An 18,671-nucleotide genomic window follows, 5' to 3' on the forward strand; every position below is an offset into this window, starting at 1 on the left:
TATTTAATGTGTATATTTGGAAGCCTTCAAAATGAAGACCCAGCTTCCCAATGAGGTACAAAGGTTGACATACCATCTTGAGGTTACAGAAAGAATGAAGGCTTGGATCCTGGCAGAACAGGCTATGGGAGGGTGGGAAGAGGAATTCTATTGATGTGCAATAAATGATTACTAAGGAAAATAACTGGAACAGAAATTAACTTGTAAATAGTTCTCTTTGGAATTTAAATAATCATTTGAGACACTCATTATCTTGAAAAATGTATGTTCAAGTATGCTTACATTTTTGGTCTTCTTTCCTGTAGTGAATAATGAGATACCAGGGAGGGGAACAAGAACAATTGTTCTCCTGGGTGAGTCAGTCCTGTCTTTCTGTTGATAGGGGAAAACTCTCCTCCAGTGCTTATTGATCTCTATGAGGTTTTAACTTAAAACACTCAGATTGCCATATTTTGGGGTGAAATATTTTGAGTTCCCTCACAAGGAACCTGAGACTCTTGTCTCTTCAAAAATATTCTCTCTTATTTTTAGCTTAGAGAGCTGCTATATCTTGGGAGATTACATTTTTGCCCAAATGGAAGCTTTATAGACTTATAAGTCTTAGAATAGTGGTTTATAAATAAAACGTATATAAATATTTTCTTTAAAAATATTGAGATCACATGGAGGAGTGTGATGAGGTCTTGTGTGATTTTTACTTCCATCGAATTTTTGCAGAAGTTTTTAGGCCCGCATGGAAACATTATTCAGGCCGAACCTGACGTTTCAATGTGAATGAGGAAGAACTGGCTCTAGACTGATGCATGAAAGCACACAGAAAGAGCTCCTCTTGTGTGTAATTTCTGCAGCGGAACCAGTGCTCTTGCCAGTTTTGTGTGCTGATTCCACATATATGTTCTGGTTGCGAGTCATTTATAAACACTTGTCAACGGAGATTTGAATCCCTGTGGTGCTGGATCTGAGGAATATAAAAAAACAAATTAGTAGAACTGAGTCGCTCATGAGAAGCAGCAGCAAGTTAACCTATTTAGTGTAAGATTAGACATCAGAAGACAGTTGTTTCTCAAATTGTGTCACTACAGTAGCCGTTTCTCTCTCTGTGTGTGTATATATGTGTATATGAATTGTTGCATGATTTAGTTTTCTTTTGTCGACAGGAGTCAAACTATGTAAAATATTTAGAGAGGTTTATTCTGAGACAAATATAAGTAACCATAACTGTGCCTGAGACACAGTCTCAAGATATCATGAGAACATGTGGCCAAGGTGGTTGGTTTGCAGCTTGGTTTTATACATTTTAAGGAGACGAAAGACATCAATCAATACATGTGAGGTATCCTTTGGTTTGGTCTAGAAAGACAGAACAACTGGAAGTGAGGGGCAGGCTTACAGGTCCTAGGTAGATTCCAAGATTTTCTGATTAGCAATTGGTTGAGAGTTAAGTTATTATCTAAAGACCTGGAATCGGTAGAAAGGAGTGTCTGGGTTAAGATAAGGGGTTGTAGAGGACAAGGTTCTTATTATGTAGATGAAGTCTCATATGTGACCACCTTTAATAACAATATGTGGCAAATGTTTTCTATTCAGACCTTTGAAAGGTGCTCTAGACTCTTAGCTAATCTCTTCAGGAACAGAAAAAGATCTGGAAAGGGAAGGGGATTCTCTACAGAATGTAAATTTCCTCCACAAGAGACAGCTTTGCAGGGCCATTAAAAAATATGTCAAAGAAATATATTTTGGGGTAAAACATTTTGATTTGTTTTCAGGGCCTTCTATCTATCAAGTGATCCCATACTAGAGTTAGGTTGGAATTGGGTATCTTATTGCTACAAATAGTCTGTTTTGTTATTCTTAAGATCTCTGTTTTAATATTAATACTGGTCAGTTGTACCTGAATTCCAAATGTATGAGTATAATGAAGCATGTCCCACCCACAGCCCTTCCCATCATTGCCTGAACCAGTTTCATTTTAGGTTTCTTTGAAATTCTCTAGGCCGAGAAAAGGGACCATTCAGTTAGCCGGGGTGCTTAGAATTTTATTTTTGGTTTACACTTTTGTAAATTATTTCACCTACCTTTGGTTTCCCCCAACAGTTTGTAATAGATTCAAATTGAATACAGGTCTCTATATATAATTTTACCGAGGATTACGTGAATTAAATAAGTTGCTCATTTAACTCATTCCACTGAAATGAGTTAAATTAATATATGTAAAGTACAAGAAGATGTAGCACTTAATAAGGGGAATAAAGTCATATTATTATTACTCAAAAGGGAACAATTTAAACAACTTAGAGTTTCCCCAAGAAAAAGAAATACTCCATGAGTACAATTGTGTTATTTCTTGTGATTGTTAAAGTGTATCCCTGGTTCTGAGTTAGGAGTGGGAAGGACGACAACTGTAAATTAGAGAGGGCTTAGAAAATGTGCTAGCAAATGTGAACAAAAATAATTTTTTAGGAAGAATATGGTGGGGAAGACAATGGATAAGGTCATTTCCCATGCCAGCTTTCAGGTGGCACTATTATCTCTTAAGAGCTAAGTTCCTATCCACCTGGTGGAGCTCCTCCAGCCTAGAGGGTGCAAGGGTGAAAAAGGAACAGGTGTAATTCGGGGAGGGAAAAGGTAGGAAGTATTCATCTGGTCGGAGATATTAATAAAGTGTATGTCTGAAACTTAGAATGTTGGCAAATAGAAAGAGGGAACGTAAAACATCTAAAGAGAGAGGAGTTCTATAAATTGTATTCCTGAAGTAGTGTTTCTTATGTTTGTTTAAAGCAAAACGGGTTGCGTTTTGGAAAGAAATTCCTGGTGGTGTTTTTCTGATGTTTCATGTATTTGATCTGGCATGTTGAGCTCAGTGGGCAAAATAACGTATGATTGATTGAATTTATATGCTTATATGTCTAAGTAACACTGGCTAACTCACCTCTCTCTGGCCTTCTATTTGCAAGCCAATATTGCAAACAAATTAATATATAACTACACAAAAAGATTCCTGTTTCTCTGTTGTCTTGGCATCCATTTACCTGTCCTGAAAAGAAGAATAGATCAGCCATTTTTTAAAATCCATTTCAAGAGAGATTATAACAATTACCTATGCAGTCAGTCTGTGTCATTAAGTATAAATGAGTCTGTGATGAGAAAAGTCAAAGCTCCATTTTATTAGTCTTAATTTTAGTTTTTATTTTTAGATACCTAATTTGCTTTCACATTTGATACCTTAGACAAAAGCATAGTCAACTGCTGATCTCTTGCTTTTCCCTGCCGTGCGTGTAATTGGACACTCTCTTAGCGAGGACACAACTGTTCACATAGATACCACAAAGCGATGAAGACTGCTAGATTAAAAAGAAATCTTTTAATATATTTGTGATTAACTGGCAACTATAATAAGGAGTTGCAGGGAAATAGAAATAAACAGAAAAGGTTAACAAGGTAGGACACAGAGATGATTATTTGCATGGGAGGAAGAAAGGCAAAACAACACCCAAAGCTTTCTATCTGACATCAACCTGTTTGATAAATAAGTAATGGGGAAAAAGAATTTCTGCCCTCAGATGTACACATTTTGCAGTATTCTAGCTGTGACCTTTGTACATGGCCACAAATTCTATGCTAAAGAGCGAGTCTATGAATTATGTAAAACAAGAGATGATACAGAAGATTTGTGTTAGAAATATGTAGCTTTACTTTCTTTACTGCCATCCAGGACAGAGAGCTCTTCCTAGTGTCTTTTTTTTCCCCCGTAGAGTTTCGAGTATATGTCTTTTAACTTTCTTGACAACTTTGTTTACTTCTTTATCATCTAAAAGACTGCCAAAAAGATCGTCCAAAAGAAAGCCATTCTGTCCAAAGAATAGCAGATCTAATTGTTAGAATAAAAATTATTGAGGTTGCAATCTATCATGGTTAATATCATAAGATTAAACTTAGGTTTGTATCTTTGAGGGCAAATGCTAGATAAATGATAGTCCAAAACAGCACTATGTTGGCCCATTTCCAAAGGTGCCTGCAGGAAAGTGTCAGTAATGCTGACAAGCCCTGGGAGATGCAATTCTTGACCAGGTGCTTAATATCAAAGTAGAGAAGAAGATGGCAAGCAGTTGACCAAAACTACAGAATCTGGGTGATGGGTGCAGTGATTTCTGGTGGCTGATTTCAATCATGTGAAAGAAAAACAAAGGAAGATCTAGCCAAACTTACTAAAGGGGAATAAAAGACTGAAAATAAGAGACGTGGTAATAAAATAGCTACTACTCCTCTGAAACACAAGGCCTCAAAGCAACCTGCAACTGGCCTGAAGGAGGTGAATTACTCCTACTTTTGAGGAAGGAAAGGACATAAGGAAAGTGTGTCCTGTTAAGCTGAACACTCTGTTTCTGTAATTATAACACTATTAGGTTGGGTTTTTTTTTATTTTTTATTTTTTATTTTAGCATTTGAGAGGCCAGATGTCAAGCTTTATACATGATTATATATAATCTTTCTGATAACCTTGTGAGATACAGATAAGAAAACTAAACCACAAAAAATTGAAATAACATCCTCAAGGTCAATGAGAGTTGGAATTCACACCCTGGCCAAACCCAGAACTCGTAACCAATGTGCCCCATTGCCTTCATGCCTGGTGTCCCAAGACAGCTTAGTTTCACAACGTTGGTCCAAAATACATGCTTTTCTAACGTGCAGTCATTCATATTGCAATTTAGGAAGACCATCTTTTTAGCATCATAGTACTGCTTTATTCTCAGAATTATCCCGACAATATATATAGATTTTTTTGGTCACTGCAAGGTGGTTGCTACGATTTCTTCTCATTTTGTGTGTTTCTTGACCTGAGACATTTATTGACAACATGTTTCCACTACTCTAGCTGGTATTCAAATCCTCTCTGCGTCAGACTTTTATTATGTCTGTGCCGCCTCATTGCCTTAGGCCCTCATCTGGTAGAAAACACCCCCTGGCCTGCAAAGATACATGGATTTGCACTAACTCCATGACACTTAAAATAATGTGTTTATTTCTTTGGCCTTTAAAGCATAGCTTTATTAGACGTTTTTAGGGGTCAGACTTTGATTATGTACCTTGAAAAAGTCAAAACCTATAATTAGACCAAAATAAAACCGGGAAGTTTCTAAGTCTGTACGGAAAGGACCACAAATCTATTCACTTGCTCCACTTAGTTTGAATGAGCTGGTAATATTTATAGAGAAGTCAGTATGCTCACAAAACTGTCTATCAGGAGCCTAAATCATGATTCATAATAAAAATGTGTTTCAAATACTTTCAGATCTATAAGAACAACCAGGTGATTTCAAAATATTAAGAAGTATTTATTGGAACAAAATGTTTGGGGGATATTGGGAATTTTTTTCCTATACATTAACATCAAGCTCTTACAGCATAGCCAAAAAAATCAATGTGAGTTATATTACATTGAACTTGCTTCTTTGCTTGTATAATTATGAGTTACCTAGCAACACATTAATCAGAAATAGTCCCTGTTTGGATACTGGCTGTGAAACTCCAGGCCTCACAGACTCAGCAAATTCTCCAGACCTTGGAACCAAAGTTGTGAGCAGTTGGTCTTTTGGTGCATCAAGATAGTGTTTCTACTTTACTTTTGAATGGAGTTTTGTTTTTGTTTTTGTTTTTGTTTTTAGAGATGGAGTTTCGCTTTTGTTGCCCAGGCTGGAGAGCAATGGCACGATCTCGGCTCACTGCAACCTCCGCCTCCCAGATTCAGGCAATTCTCCTGCCTCAGCCTTCCTTAGTAGCTGGAATTACAGGCGTGTGTCACCACCCCAGGCTAATTTTGTATTTTTAGTAGAGACGGGGTTTCTCCATGTTGGTCAGGCTGGTCTTGAACTCCCAACCTCAGATGATCCGCCCGCCTCGGCCTTCCAAAGTGCTGGGATTACAGGCATAAGCCACCGCGCCCGGCTGAATAGAGTTCTTTAACTTGGGGCCTGTAAACAAAAATTGAGAACAAAGATAATACTACAGGAAAAGTATTTTGGAGTTTTCCACCCAGTAAACTTACATCTATCATTACATTATGTTTATTCGGGTATAGCTCAATTTGATAATAGGCACCACTCCATGAGAGAATTGTTAAGTACACTCAATTTAACAGCAAGGTCTCTGTCCTGTTACTGGTCTTTCTCCTCTCCTTGGATGACATTACCAAATTAGTCATTTTCTTTGTTGTGATAATGATGTCAAAATAAGCAAGATGCTTTTTAATAAGCTTAACGCCAAAGCAAGTTTAAATACTGTATTGTGTTTTTATATTATATGTTATATAATGCTATTGTCTTCTTAGACCACTTTGTGCTACTGTAACAGAATACCCAAGACTGGGTAATCTATAATGAACAGAAATTTATTGACTCATAGTTCTAAAGGCTGGGACGTCCAAGATCAAGGGGCTGGCATCTTACAAGCCCTTCTTGCTGTGTGATCCTATGGGAGAAGACAGAAGGGCAAGAGAGGGTAGGAGAGAGAGGCAAAAGAGGACTGAACTTGTCCTTTTATAAAGAACTCATTCCTGCAATAATGAACCCACCTCTGAGTTAACGGCATCAATTCATTCACAAAAGGTGAGCCTTCGTGGCCTAGTTACCTCTTAAAGTTTTCATCTGTGAATACTGTTACAGTGGCAATTAAATTTCAACATATGCTTTTTGCAAGACACATTCAATCCTGTCACCCAAAACATGTGCTCTTCTCCATACAAAATATAATCATTCTATCCCAATAACCTCAAAGTCTTAACTCATTCCTTAATCAACTAAAAAAACCCCAAAGTCTCATCTAAATCAGATATGGATGAGACTCAAGCCATTCATCTGGAGATAAATACTCCTTCAGCTGTAAGCCTGTGAAATCAAACACATCATGTGCTTTCAAAATAAGATGGTGGGACAGGCATAGGATTGGAATTCCCATTCCAAAAGGGAGAAATGGGCAAGAAGTAAGGAGTAACTAGTCCCAAGTAAGTCCAAAAGCCAACAGGGCAAACAACATCACATCTTAAGACTCCAGAATAATCTTTTCATGTCCATGTGCCACCTTTTGGACACACTGCATTGGACACTGGGCACCTAAGGCCTCAAGTAGCCCCACCTTTATGATTTTGCTCAGCCCACTCAGCAGCTGTCACAGACCGGAGTCTCATGCCTGCATCTCTCTCAGGCTGGCATTGCACACTGGTGGCTTTACAGTTCTGGGGTCTTGGGGATGGCTCCACTCCCATGGCTTTACTAGGCATTGCCCTAGTGTGGACTCTCTGCAGCGGCTCCACCCATATGCCACATTTCTGCCAGGGTCCCTAGGCTGTCTGTGCCGTCTTTCAAAGTCTAAGTGGAGGTAGCCATGCCTCCACAGCTCTTGCATTCTGCATGACTGCAAACTAATTTCTACATGGATGTTTTAAGGTTTACTTCTTGTGCCCCCCAGAGCAGCAACTTGAGCTGTATCTAGGACCACTTGAGCCACAGCTCTGGTGGCCAAGGAGCACTGCATGAGAATGCCGGGAGCCCCAGGCAGCAAGCCTGTGGAGGGTACCCCAGGCCTTTCCTACAAAACCATTCTGCCTTCCTAGGGCTCTGGCAAGAGGGGCAGACTCTAAGTTCTCCAAAATGCCCTTGCTCTCATTCTCTCATTGTCTTAATGGATGGTACCTGCCTCCCTTCTATCCATACTCATCTCCTTCTCAAACGGTTGCTTGGCTACCCCCTTGATATACTCTCCCGAACATGTCTTTTTATCTTCACGTGATCAGGCTAGGGATGTTCCAAATTTTTACATTCTGTTCCCTTTTCATTATAAATTCTGTGTTTAAATTATTTTTATTTTCTCTCATTTTATTGTATGCAGTTAAAAGAAGCCATGCAATTCCTACAGATATTTCTCCTGCCAGATAGTCTGATCACTCCTAAATTCTGCCTTTCACAAAGATCTCAGGCATGGACACAATTCAGCCAAGTTCTCTGCCACTCCATAACAAGGATGACTTTTACTCTCGTTTCCAATTCCTTGTTCTGCATTTTCATCTGAGACCTTATCAGAACGGGCTTTACCACTCATATTTCTACCACCATTCTGCTCAGGAGCACATAAATACTCTCTAAGAAGCTCAGACTTTCCCTACAGCTCTTTTCTTCCTCTGAGCCCTCAAAATTCTTGACTATTTGTGCTGGAGACTCTTCTCCTGCAGGTGGCTTGTCCCACATCCCTGTCCTTATAGTTGCACTGTGTTCAGTTTCACTGGACTCATTTTCCCTGTGCTTGTTGAGACTTCTGGCTCATACCGTTGCTTTTCTCTTGATTTTGAATCTCAAGACCATTTCTTCATTAGCTACCTGATCAGCAGGGACCGGTTTCAGTCTCCCTCCTGTTCTAGGAATCATACCACTGCCTTCATGTCAATTCGTGTGGTGGACTTCTCTCTGGTCACAGCTTTCTTTGGGTCTTCCTATCCCATGAGCTACACTAACTTTTATGGCCTCAGGCAGCCCAGCCACTGGCTCTGATTTGTCCTGGCTCTTAGGATGCATTGAGAAAGTTGCCCAACAGCTATGAGAGAGCGTAGAGGACTGCTTCAAGGTTTTTGATTAGGAAGAAAAATTTCTACAATAATTACTCTCTGGAATACTGTCCTCCAAGAACAAACAGGCAATTTTTTTTTCTGTAAGTTTTTCTCATGATGACCCTTAAAAGTGTATAAAACTGTCTTTCTCTCAAGGAACAAAATGGTTGAACTCCATAAGCAAATCTGCCTCAGACATAAAACTGCGCCTTCCCAGGCAAAATCATGTGCTTCTCAGCATTTCCACCGCAGGTGGCTCCCTCCTGCCTCACTGCATGCATGTTACATCTGTGCTTGCGATCATTTGCCCTCGCTTCTGTCCATACTCAGCTGCTTGAATGTCCTTTGTGTTAGTTCATTTCAAAACCTTCTCTTTTTGAGTGGCTGAATTGTTATCAGTGTAACTCACCTCACATGCAAGAACTGAGAAAAGCATCACAGGTAGTTAAGCACTTAATAAATGCTTGTTGTTAGTGATGAATATATACTAAAATATTAATCAGCTTTAGGCTTTCATAGGCTCAGAAAGTTCTTTATGCACGATGATAAAAACAAAACCAATAATTAGGTTAAATAAGTAATACCCTCCTATAAGACTGGGGTAAAACCTAACAAATCTATTTGCTTGCTCTCTCCCAATCTGCATTTCTGTTACCTTACAGTTCATTCATCCCTTCAGCTACAAACAAAGTCAATGTTAACTGCAGCCCCATACCTCTGCGCTGAGGCCTTTGTGATGTCTGGGTCTCACCATGGAAACGTTCTGACTGTAGACTTCAACTGACACACAGCTGGGATGGGCCACTCTGCCTGCATGTCACTGACCACCTCCCACTGCTCTGGGTTCTACCATTTGAGGAGACACCTGCATAGGTCAAAGGCTGGGTGGCTAAGAGAGCTGACGGCACTCCTGATCTCTGGGCCTGGCATGAGAAGACATTGGTGGGAAAGGCCAATAGAGGGGCTCATCCATCCCTTGAGGAGGAATAAATGAATCCCTGGAGTCTCCAATGCCCAGAGACTCCTCTTCTGGTCTTAGCCTTGTCCACATTTGGACATGCACTTTGATATAAAGTCAAAATTTTGGCAAAAGGACTAGTCCTAAGAGTAAGTCTGTTGAGGTGGTGGGATACTGGGTCTCAGTTACAGGCTCCACTCTAAAACCAGAGAAAGCAAGAGGAAGGAGGAGGAGGAGGAAGAGAGAAGGAGTAGGAGATGGAAGAGACAAAGAAATAAGGAAGAGACAAGTCTCTTATTATGAAAGTAAGTGGATGTCTGGAACTGCAATTAGTGTGATATCCCTTGCGTATGCGACCCAGACTTGTTTAAGAATGAAAATGGCACCTGCTGGTTGGTTGAATAACTCTTCACTTTGTTGTCACATCATTTGCACTTTAATATGGCAGAGGAATCCGAAAGACAGTTTTTGTAAAAGATGGAGAAAGAATTGGGGTCACTGGAAAGTGGAATGGTGAGCCGAGGAGGAACAGAATGAAATGGGCAGGATGAGGTCACCCAAAGAGTCCCCTCCTTATTTCCCTCGCCAGGCCTCAGCATCATCCCCTCAACGTCCACACCTCCTCCTCACCAGCACTGCCCACGCCGCACCAGCAGCCACCCCCTGCAGCATTCCAGACTGGGGCGGCCTTGCTTTTCCTTGTCCTTAAATCTCTCCTTTTTCTACACACTTCTCACATTGACAGATGCTCAACAGTACACTAGGGATGGGGGTAGAACAGTGGTGGCCTTTGGAGACTGACAGGCTTAGACATGAGTAAAAGCTTTGTCAATTACTAGTTATGATGTGAGTACTGTTATTTTTTAAACAGATGCCAATTTAACAGGTGACAAATCGTATGTCACTGTTTTAACTGGAGTTCTTTGATTACTAAGATGTAAAAAGTCTTTGAAAATGATTATTTGCCATTGTACTTAAGCACTCCAACCCCCGTTTGCCCATCTGTTTGTTTCGTGCTTGGGTCTGTCTTATGGGGGAAGTCGGAGGAACTTATGCCCATAGAGTGCTTAGCACATAGAAAGACCCTGCAAATGTTCACTGTTATTTGTATAATACAGGAATCAAAAAGCAAAATAAATACAGTTCATGAAGGAGCACTTTTTTTTTCTCATTTTCCAAATGAAATACGGCCCTTGGATGCAGAATCCTTCTGGGTCACTAACTCAGTGTGAGCCTGAACAAGTGTTATTTTTTTCTCTATAGGTCTCCTCTGGTGCTTCATCTATAAAATGAAGCGGCTACGCTGTATGGTTTATAAGGCCTAGTCCACCTTTAACATTCTATCACACTCTGATCCCACTTATTCCTCTCCTAAAGATATACATTGCTTCCAAATGGCAAACTGAGGACAACAAAGTTGCACAATATGATGAAAGTGTCAGTAACCTTTCTGTGTTAAAACTGTTAGAATAATTACAAAGATACATGCTCCTGTATATTTACTGTGGCACGATATACAAGAGCAAAGACATAGAATCAACCGAAATGCCCATCAATGATAGGCTAGGTAAAGAAAATGTGGTCCGTATACACCATGGAATACTATGCAGCCATAAAAAGGAAGGAGATCATGTCCTTTGCAGGGACATGGATGGAGCTAGAAGTCATTATCCTTAGCAAATTAATGCAAGAACCGAAAACCAAAACTGCATGTTCTCACTTACAAGTGGGAGCTGAACAATGAGCACATGTGGACCCAGTGGGGGAACAACAGACGCACCAGGGCCTATTGGCAGGCAGAGGGGGAAGAGCATCAGGGAAAACAGCTAATGCCTGCTGGGCTTAATACCTAGGTGATGGGTTGATAGGTTCAGCAAACCACCATGGCACACATTTACCTATGTAACAAACCTGCACATCCTGCACATGTATCCTGGAACTTAAGTTAAATTAAAAACTGTTAGAATATAGACTCATACTAGAACATAAGCTCCAGGAGAGAAGAGATTTTTGTTTGTTTTGTTCATTAATGTATTCCCAACACTTCAAACAGTGTGTGGCACATAGTAGATGTTCAAGAAGTATTTGCTGAATGAAACATATTAATACCTTGTATAAAAATAAGCATTTCATGCAGGAGGAAAGTGACTGCAAATCATTATTTTCAAAGACCATTTTTATTTTAGTAATCAAAGAAATGATGACATGTGATTTGTCAACTGTTAGACTGGCAGATGTTAACGAAATAACAATACTCACATCATCAGTAAATGATGGAGAAATTATCACTTTTACCCTGTTATAGAACAATCTTCCTGGAATTCAGTGTGACATTACTTATCAAAAGGCTTAGAAATATGCACAAACTTTGACCCAGAAATTCCACACCCGGAAAGGTATTTTAAGGAAAGAATTAAGAATATGCAAAGATTTAGCTATAAGAATTCTGTTCATAGTAGTGAAATTTGGAAACAACCAAAAGGTCCAACTAGGGGCAAATTTGGTAACAAAGGATGATATAGTCTTTGAATGAAATACTAACTAGTTATTAAAGACATTACACATGAATATTTATTTTTAAAAATACTCACGATGAATGTCCTAAAAAGGCAGTTTATGAGATAGCATGTATAGTATAATGCCATATAGAAATTCATCTACAGCTAAATAAAAGATTTCCATAGCATACAGATGACAAATTATATCTGGTTATATCTGGGTAGTGGAGTTATATACTTCTGTACGTTTTTTTCCTTTTTGCTAATTTTATCATTTTTTTCTTCAATGGCCATACATTGCATTTATAATGAAATAATTGTTTTAATTTAAACATTTACCTTTTAGCTGTAACAAATGTAGACTTTTCGATAGTCTGTTATATTTTTCCCGGTGGCATCTGAACAGTGTTCTTTGCTCAGCCAGCTTTTCTTGCTCTATCATTAGCGTGGCTAAGTTAATCAGATTTTAAGCTCCCTACGGGCAGGTTTACATTTTTTCGTTATTCTTTAACATATCTTGCACCCCTTCTGGCTGCTAAATAAAAATCTGCTGCCCTGAAATGCAGTCAAGTGCAATTTCAATTTCTGCTCTCATTAAACGTCCCCTATAAATCCATTTAAACAGTTCTAGTAATAAGAGTATCCCCCAAGGTTTTCTTTTTTCCTTTGTATTGTAAGCCAATTACTCACGATTCCTGACACTAGGGAAGAAGAGACTAGTACGATAGGGGCGTATGTGTAGAAGCGGAAAGATATTTGTTTTGTGTTGCCCCAGGGTGGCTGAGCTAAGTCACAAGAAAGTGAATTCAGCTCAGCTAAGGAAGAACTTTCTAATCATTAAAGATGGGCATCAATAGGAGGTGACTATAGTAAGTTTATAAACTCCCTTTCATGAAGGACACCTAAGCATTGCATGTGGATGTCACCAATGAGTTAGAAGTTGGACTAGGTGACCTTTGACCATTTTTCCAAGTATAAATGTACCTTATTCTCTTAGGTCTCATCTGCTGCTAAGAAATCAAGGGCTAGGGGAAGGTAAAGTGTGTAGATGAATGCTTTGTTTGGCTTGATGTTCCACATTGCTTACCCTTGGAATCCAGACTCAAAAACCCCTTCCCAAGGCACCGTGCCATCTCTTACCCCTTTCATTTACTCCTATTCATCTGGCTATGCACCTGTGAAGAATACTTCTCTTCCTTCTTCCAGCATCTGAGATAAACATGAGCTGCCATTTATTAAACAATTTTTGAATGATTATTTTTTGGCTAAGCATTATGGTAAATACTCGATGGGAATTGCTTCACGTCATATTCCCAAAACAACCCAAAAAGTTAGGATTGTAACATTCAGAAAACCAAGGCTAATAAAGGTTCAATAATGTGCCTAAGGCCACACAACTAGTACAAGCAAAGGCAAAATTTAAACTCAGGTAAGTCTGACTTCAAAGTAAAGTATGTAATAATATGGCACAGTGGCTGATGAAATGTCAGGATTTTCATGGGCAACAACATTTTCAGACTACATCTCTGCCTGCTTCTCTACTCCGTCCAGATCCCTTTCTGGCCTCCTGTCTGTCCCAGCCCCTGATTCTCCTTCTGGCTACATTGCCACCCTTCTTGCCCCAGTCCTCAGTGGACTCCAAGTGTCCCCAACAAATGTGTTTCTTCTAATCCCCAGCCACCAGAAGTATCCACAGTTGTCCAAATCATAGTGTCTCTCTGAGAGGCACTTGAAGCTCAGGCTCATGGGCTAGTGATAGAGTTTATGGTCAACTTTATGTGTCCACTTTACTGGGCTAAGGGGTGCCCAGATAGCTGGTAAAACACAATTTCTGGGGGGTGTCTGTAAGGTTGTTTCCAGAAAAGATTAGCATTTGAATCAGTAGACAGTAAAGAAGATCCACTCTCATCACTGTGGTTGGGCACCATCCAGTCCAATCCATTGAGGGCCCTAATACAACAAAAAGGCAGAGGAAGGGTGAATTGTTTCCTTCTCTCTGTTTAAACTGAGACATTCATCTTCTCCTGCCCTTGAGCATGGGAGCTCCTGGTTCTCAGGCTGAATTACACTGTCAGCTTTCCTGGTTCTCTGTCTCGAAGGCAGCATATGATGACTTCTTGGCCTCCATAATTGCATGAGTAAATTCCCATAATAAACTTATCTATCATTTCTATTATCTATCTATCTATATCTATCATCTATCTCTCTATCATTTATCTTTCTTCTATCTACCTATCACCTATCATATGTATGTGTGTATCTATATCTATATCTATCTCATCTATCTGCATTTCTATCTAGCTATGTATCACTTATCCTATCTATCATCTATCATCTATCTATCCATATCTATCATCTATCATCTCTCTCTTTATCATTTATCTATCTTTCTGCTATCTACCTATCACCTATCATATGTATGTATGTATGTATCTATCTATCTATATCTATCTCATCTATCTGCATTTCTATCTACCTATGTATCACTTATCCTATCATCTATCTATCTATCTATCTATCTATCTATCTATCTATCTATCTATCTAACCTATCTATCTATCTATCTATATCTTGGTTCTGTTTCACCAGAGAACCCTGACTAATACAATAGGGCACTCAATGCTGCACCTTTGTCCCTTCTCCCAGAGCAACCTCTCTGTCTTAGAAGTTTCAACATACCTCCAAACCAGCCTTCAGCAACACCTTTCACAGAGCCTCTGTGTAGGTCTTTGGAGTCATTTTAATGCTTTCTGAGGCAGGAGCCCCTCCTTTGAGTTACTCTGCAATTCACTTCCTTTTGATGAGACAGGCAGGTGTGAATGGAATTAATTTTTGGTCCCCATAATTCTTGTATTCATTTACCAGCTAGATACACTGTAGTTGTTCCTTATTTCCTCCCACTTTTACAACTGCTGGCTGGAAATTCTCTCTTCTTTCTGCCATGCAAGTGTTATGTGATCTTCAGTGGGACTGCTTGTCTGTATTCTACTGTGGGCTTCTGCTCTTTCTTTCACTCTGTATGCAGTCCCAGAATCCCAGGCCACAGCACAGAAGGATATCTACCACAGCCAGAGGAGCCTGGGGCGTACTTATTTCATAGCTAATGTTAGGAGGATAAACTTAACTTGTTTATAAATATGGATGGGTACTGGTGTCCTGTTACTGGGTACTCTAAAAAAGACTGCATCACCACCCTCTAGGTTTTTTTACTTTATAGTGATATCAGGAAATTAATGCAACACATTCCCTTTAATAATGATTATACCCATACTGTAAACTATAAAGAAAAATGTCCAAAGAATACCTTTGAGAAGCATGAAGCCAGAAAGCAACTTAAGGAATTCTAATTCAGTTTGGCTACCATTTTATAGTACATACATGTGCAACCCTTTCTACTCTTATTTCTTTAACTGATGTACTTTTGCAGTGTTGTTTCTCGGTTTTTTAGGCCTATCCACATTCGTGTTGGTCCCTGGGGTCAGCATGTCATATGCAATGATTTCTTGCACAATGCCGTATTCAGATACATGTGGAAGATATGTTTTCTCAATTTCAGTTGATTGATTAGCAGATATCTTTTTGGTTTTGTGGCAAGGGGGATGGTTAAAATATAGGTCTTTCCCTGAATACCAGTGCCTGATATTATGTAATACATTAAGCTATTTATCTGTTTATCATTTTCTCTCCCTACCCCACACTGGAATGTAACTTTATAAGTACAGACATTGACTGTTTAATTCACTGTATAAACTTATTGCCCAGAAAAGCAGAATATCATGAACAAGTTATGTTCATCACAAGAGCTTAACAGTTGATTCACATTGGAAAATGGATTAATGTAATTCGCCACATTAATGAATAAAAGAGAAAAACCATATGATTATTGCTTTAGATGCATTAAGAACATTAGGTACAATTTCACATCCATTCATGATAAAAGACTTCTATCAAAGTAGGATAGAAAGGAATCTTCTTCAGCTGATATAGTTTACCTAGAAGAAAAAGTGTAGCATATATAAAACTTTATTTAAAGGCAGTCAATAAAACATAAAGAGAGAGATCACCTTTGTTCACACAGCGGGACTCGGTTTTGTTAATGTGTCCGTTGCCCTCAATTGATATCTAGATTCAATGTAATTGCAGTGAAAGCCCCAACAAAGGTTTTCATGCTTCAAAAGCAGATTCTAACATACATTGGGAAGGGCAAAAGGACCAATAATAGTAAAAAATACTCTTGGGAAGAAAAAGGTAAGGGAATTTGGCTTAGCAGATATCAAAACGATATATAAGGCAGTGATATATAAGGCAATGAGGTATTTATGTAGGAAAAACAGAGTCACATATATGGGTATAAGGTGACAACATAATACAGAAGTGGCATTGGAGATAAGTGGCTAAAAAAAGATGGATCGTCTCATAAATGGTGCTTATTCCTAAGTAAACAAACAAAATTGGATTCTTCTTTGCAACATGCATGAAGCTAAATTCCAGAAAAATTATATATCTATATGTGAAGAGCAAAATATTCAAAGTTGTAAGTATAGTATAGAAACATATCTTTATATTCCTATGGTAGAGATTTCTTAATTTGAAAAGCAGTATCCATAACAAATTGATAAATTCAACTTTGTTAAAATTAAGAACTTTTTGACACACAAATATCTGTCAAATTTAGTGTCCAAAATATATAAATTCTAAAAATTGAAAAAATTATATAAAATAATTGTTTAAAATAGATGGACCTAAGGAGGAGGGAAAATGCAAATGTTTAACAAGTTTATATAAACATGCTTTCTGTCTTATTAGCAATTGGAGAAATACAATAAATGTTTTAAAACACCATGTAATAGATTGGCAAAAGTTTAAAACTTTCACAATTTAATGACGATGCTGGGCAAAGGGACCTTTTATTCTCTATTGATGAAAATTTAAACAAAGCCAATCACTTAAGAAGACAATTTATCATTGTCTTGCAACTTTAAACATGTAACAGCTTCACGTAGTAGAGACGTCAGGGCCCTACCTCCATCCTCTTGGCCAACCCTATTGCTGACTGCAGGTGAGATGAACAGGCTCCATACACGCTGATAGCTTCTCAAGCATCTGCCAGGATTTGCTTGGCCTGACAGTGCCAGAGCATGAAATACCTCCAGAGCCACACTGCACACTGAGGGGTAAGAAGTGGTGGATAAATAGCCCAGCTTTCTTTCTCCTTGGAGGGATAATTCTGAGGTAGGTTTAACAGTCTCTTGAATGTTTCCAGTGGAATTGGTTCCAGCTGCCCACAGCAGTAACCACACATGAATATACCATTTATTGGCATTTCATCCTTCCTTGCTGTGTTTCCCCACTCCCTCACTTTGCTTCCTGTAATAATCTTCCAAAAAAAAACTCCTATGCATGGAATTATTTGTCTCAGGACCTGGATTTTGTGGAATCCAAGCTAAAATACTTTATGTTCTAGCAGATCCCCTCCTGGATAAATACCCTAGAGCAATTCTTGCACGCCTACCCCCTAGAAGAAATTATGACACTGTTAATAGCAGCATGTGATAAGAAAAAAAAAATCTAGAAACAACTAAATGCCCATTAATGAAAGAATGGATAGATTGTGATGTAGTCACTTAATAAAATACTGTACATGTGTAAATATTAGTGATCTACAGATGTATTAATTGACCTCAATACATTTTAGAAGCATAATGTTGAGTGGAAGAAGATACTGAGAACACATACAGTATTTTTTTATTAAATTCAGAAACAAGTTGAATAATATTCTGGCATTGGTTCTATTATATTTCTAGGTTAGGTGGTAGGTTCATGGGTTTTTGTTTTAATATCATGCTTCATGGCTCATATATTTATTGATAAAAAATGAAAAAAAGGACACATCTCAGATACAATAAAAACATTTATTACATCTCATGTTTTATTTTGTGGAAAGTTTGTGATACCATGTACTAAAATACATCAGTCAAGGGATATGGTTATTATACCTAAAGGCTTTATATATTTTCATGGGTTTTCTAGTTCATGTTTTAAATATTGCAAAATCTGTGAGATTTATGAAGACTCTTTCATAGGGAAAATCCACTTTAAACATCTCTACAGTTTCGCTAGGTATCTTCAAATAGAATAGAATTTCAGTGTGATAAATTAGACTCCTTAGTTCCATAGCTGACGTATAGCTGGCATATCCCATTGATGTTCTAATATGTGATATGTTCAAATATGTGATAACACATTTTGATTTCTTATAATGCTTAGTCCCATATGGTCCTAAACTATTACGACCTTTGTCATGCTTGGGATTTGTGGAAATTTCACAGTGGTAAGGGTTGTGACATTACACGCTGAATTACTAAAATCACGCAGCGCAAAGTGACTTGCACATGAAAAGTGCACCTTGGTGCTGAATTTCCTATTTTTTTCTACTTGAAAGTGTATGGTCTTATTTATAAAGTAAAGTATTTATATGCTTTACATAACAAAGTCTCTTCTTTTACCACATTTATAAATTAGCTGAGTCATATTTAACAAAAAGACTGGTCTAACTTTCTAAGTTTAAGTCAATTTTAAAATCTGAAATTGTATATGATGAAAATGAGACCCAATTCAG

At 38.4% G+C, this 18,671-nt stretch overlaps 2 long non-coding RNA genes across 3 annotated transcripts in view; one reads left to right on the forward strand and one right to left on the reverse strand.

Moving 5' to 3' along the window:
• Nucleotides 1–18,671, forward strand: part of LOC105378072 (uncharacterized) — a 91,283-nt gene that overhangs the window by 15,358 nt on the left and 57,254 nt on the right. The gene's annotated exons all lie outside the window — the stretch shown is intronic.
• The window catches only part of LOC101928923 (uncharacterized), a 487,547-nt gene continuing 468,902 nt past the window's right edge, over nt 27–18,671 (reverse strand). The window contains exons 6-9 of the long non-coding RNA XR_001744423.2: nt 5,880–5,972; nt 3,223–3,341; nt 2,930–3,034; nt 27–958 (exon numbers count right to left, since the gene is read on the reverse strand). This is a non-coding gene — a long non-coding RNA (uncharacterized LOC101928923). The remainder of the gene's footprint in view (nt 959–2,929; nt 3,035–3,222; nt 3,342–5,879; nt 5,973–18,671) is intronic.

This window comes from Homo sapiens, chromosome 6 (genome assembly GCF_000001405.40).
Source record: "Homo sapiens chromosome 6, GRCh38.p14 Primary Assembly".
NCBI lineage: Eukaryota > Metazoa > Chordata > Mammalia > Primates > Hominidae > Homo > Homo sapiens.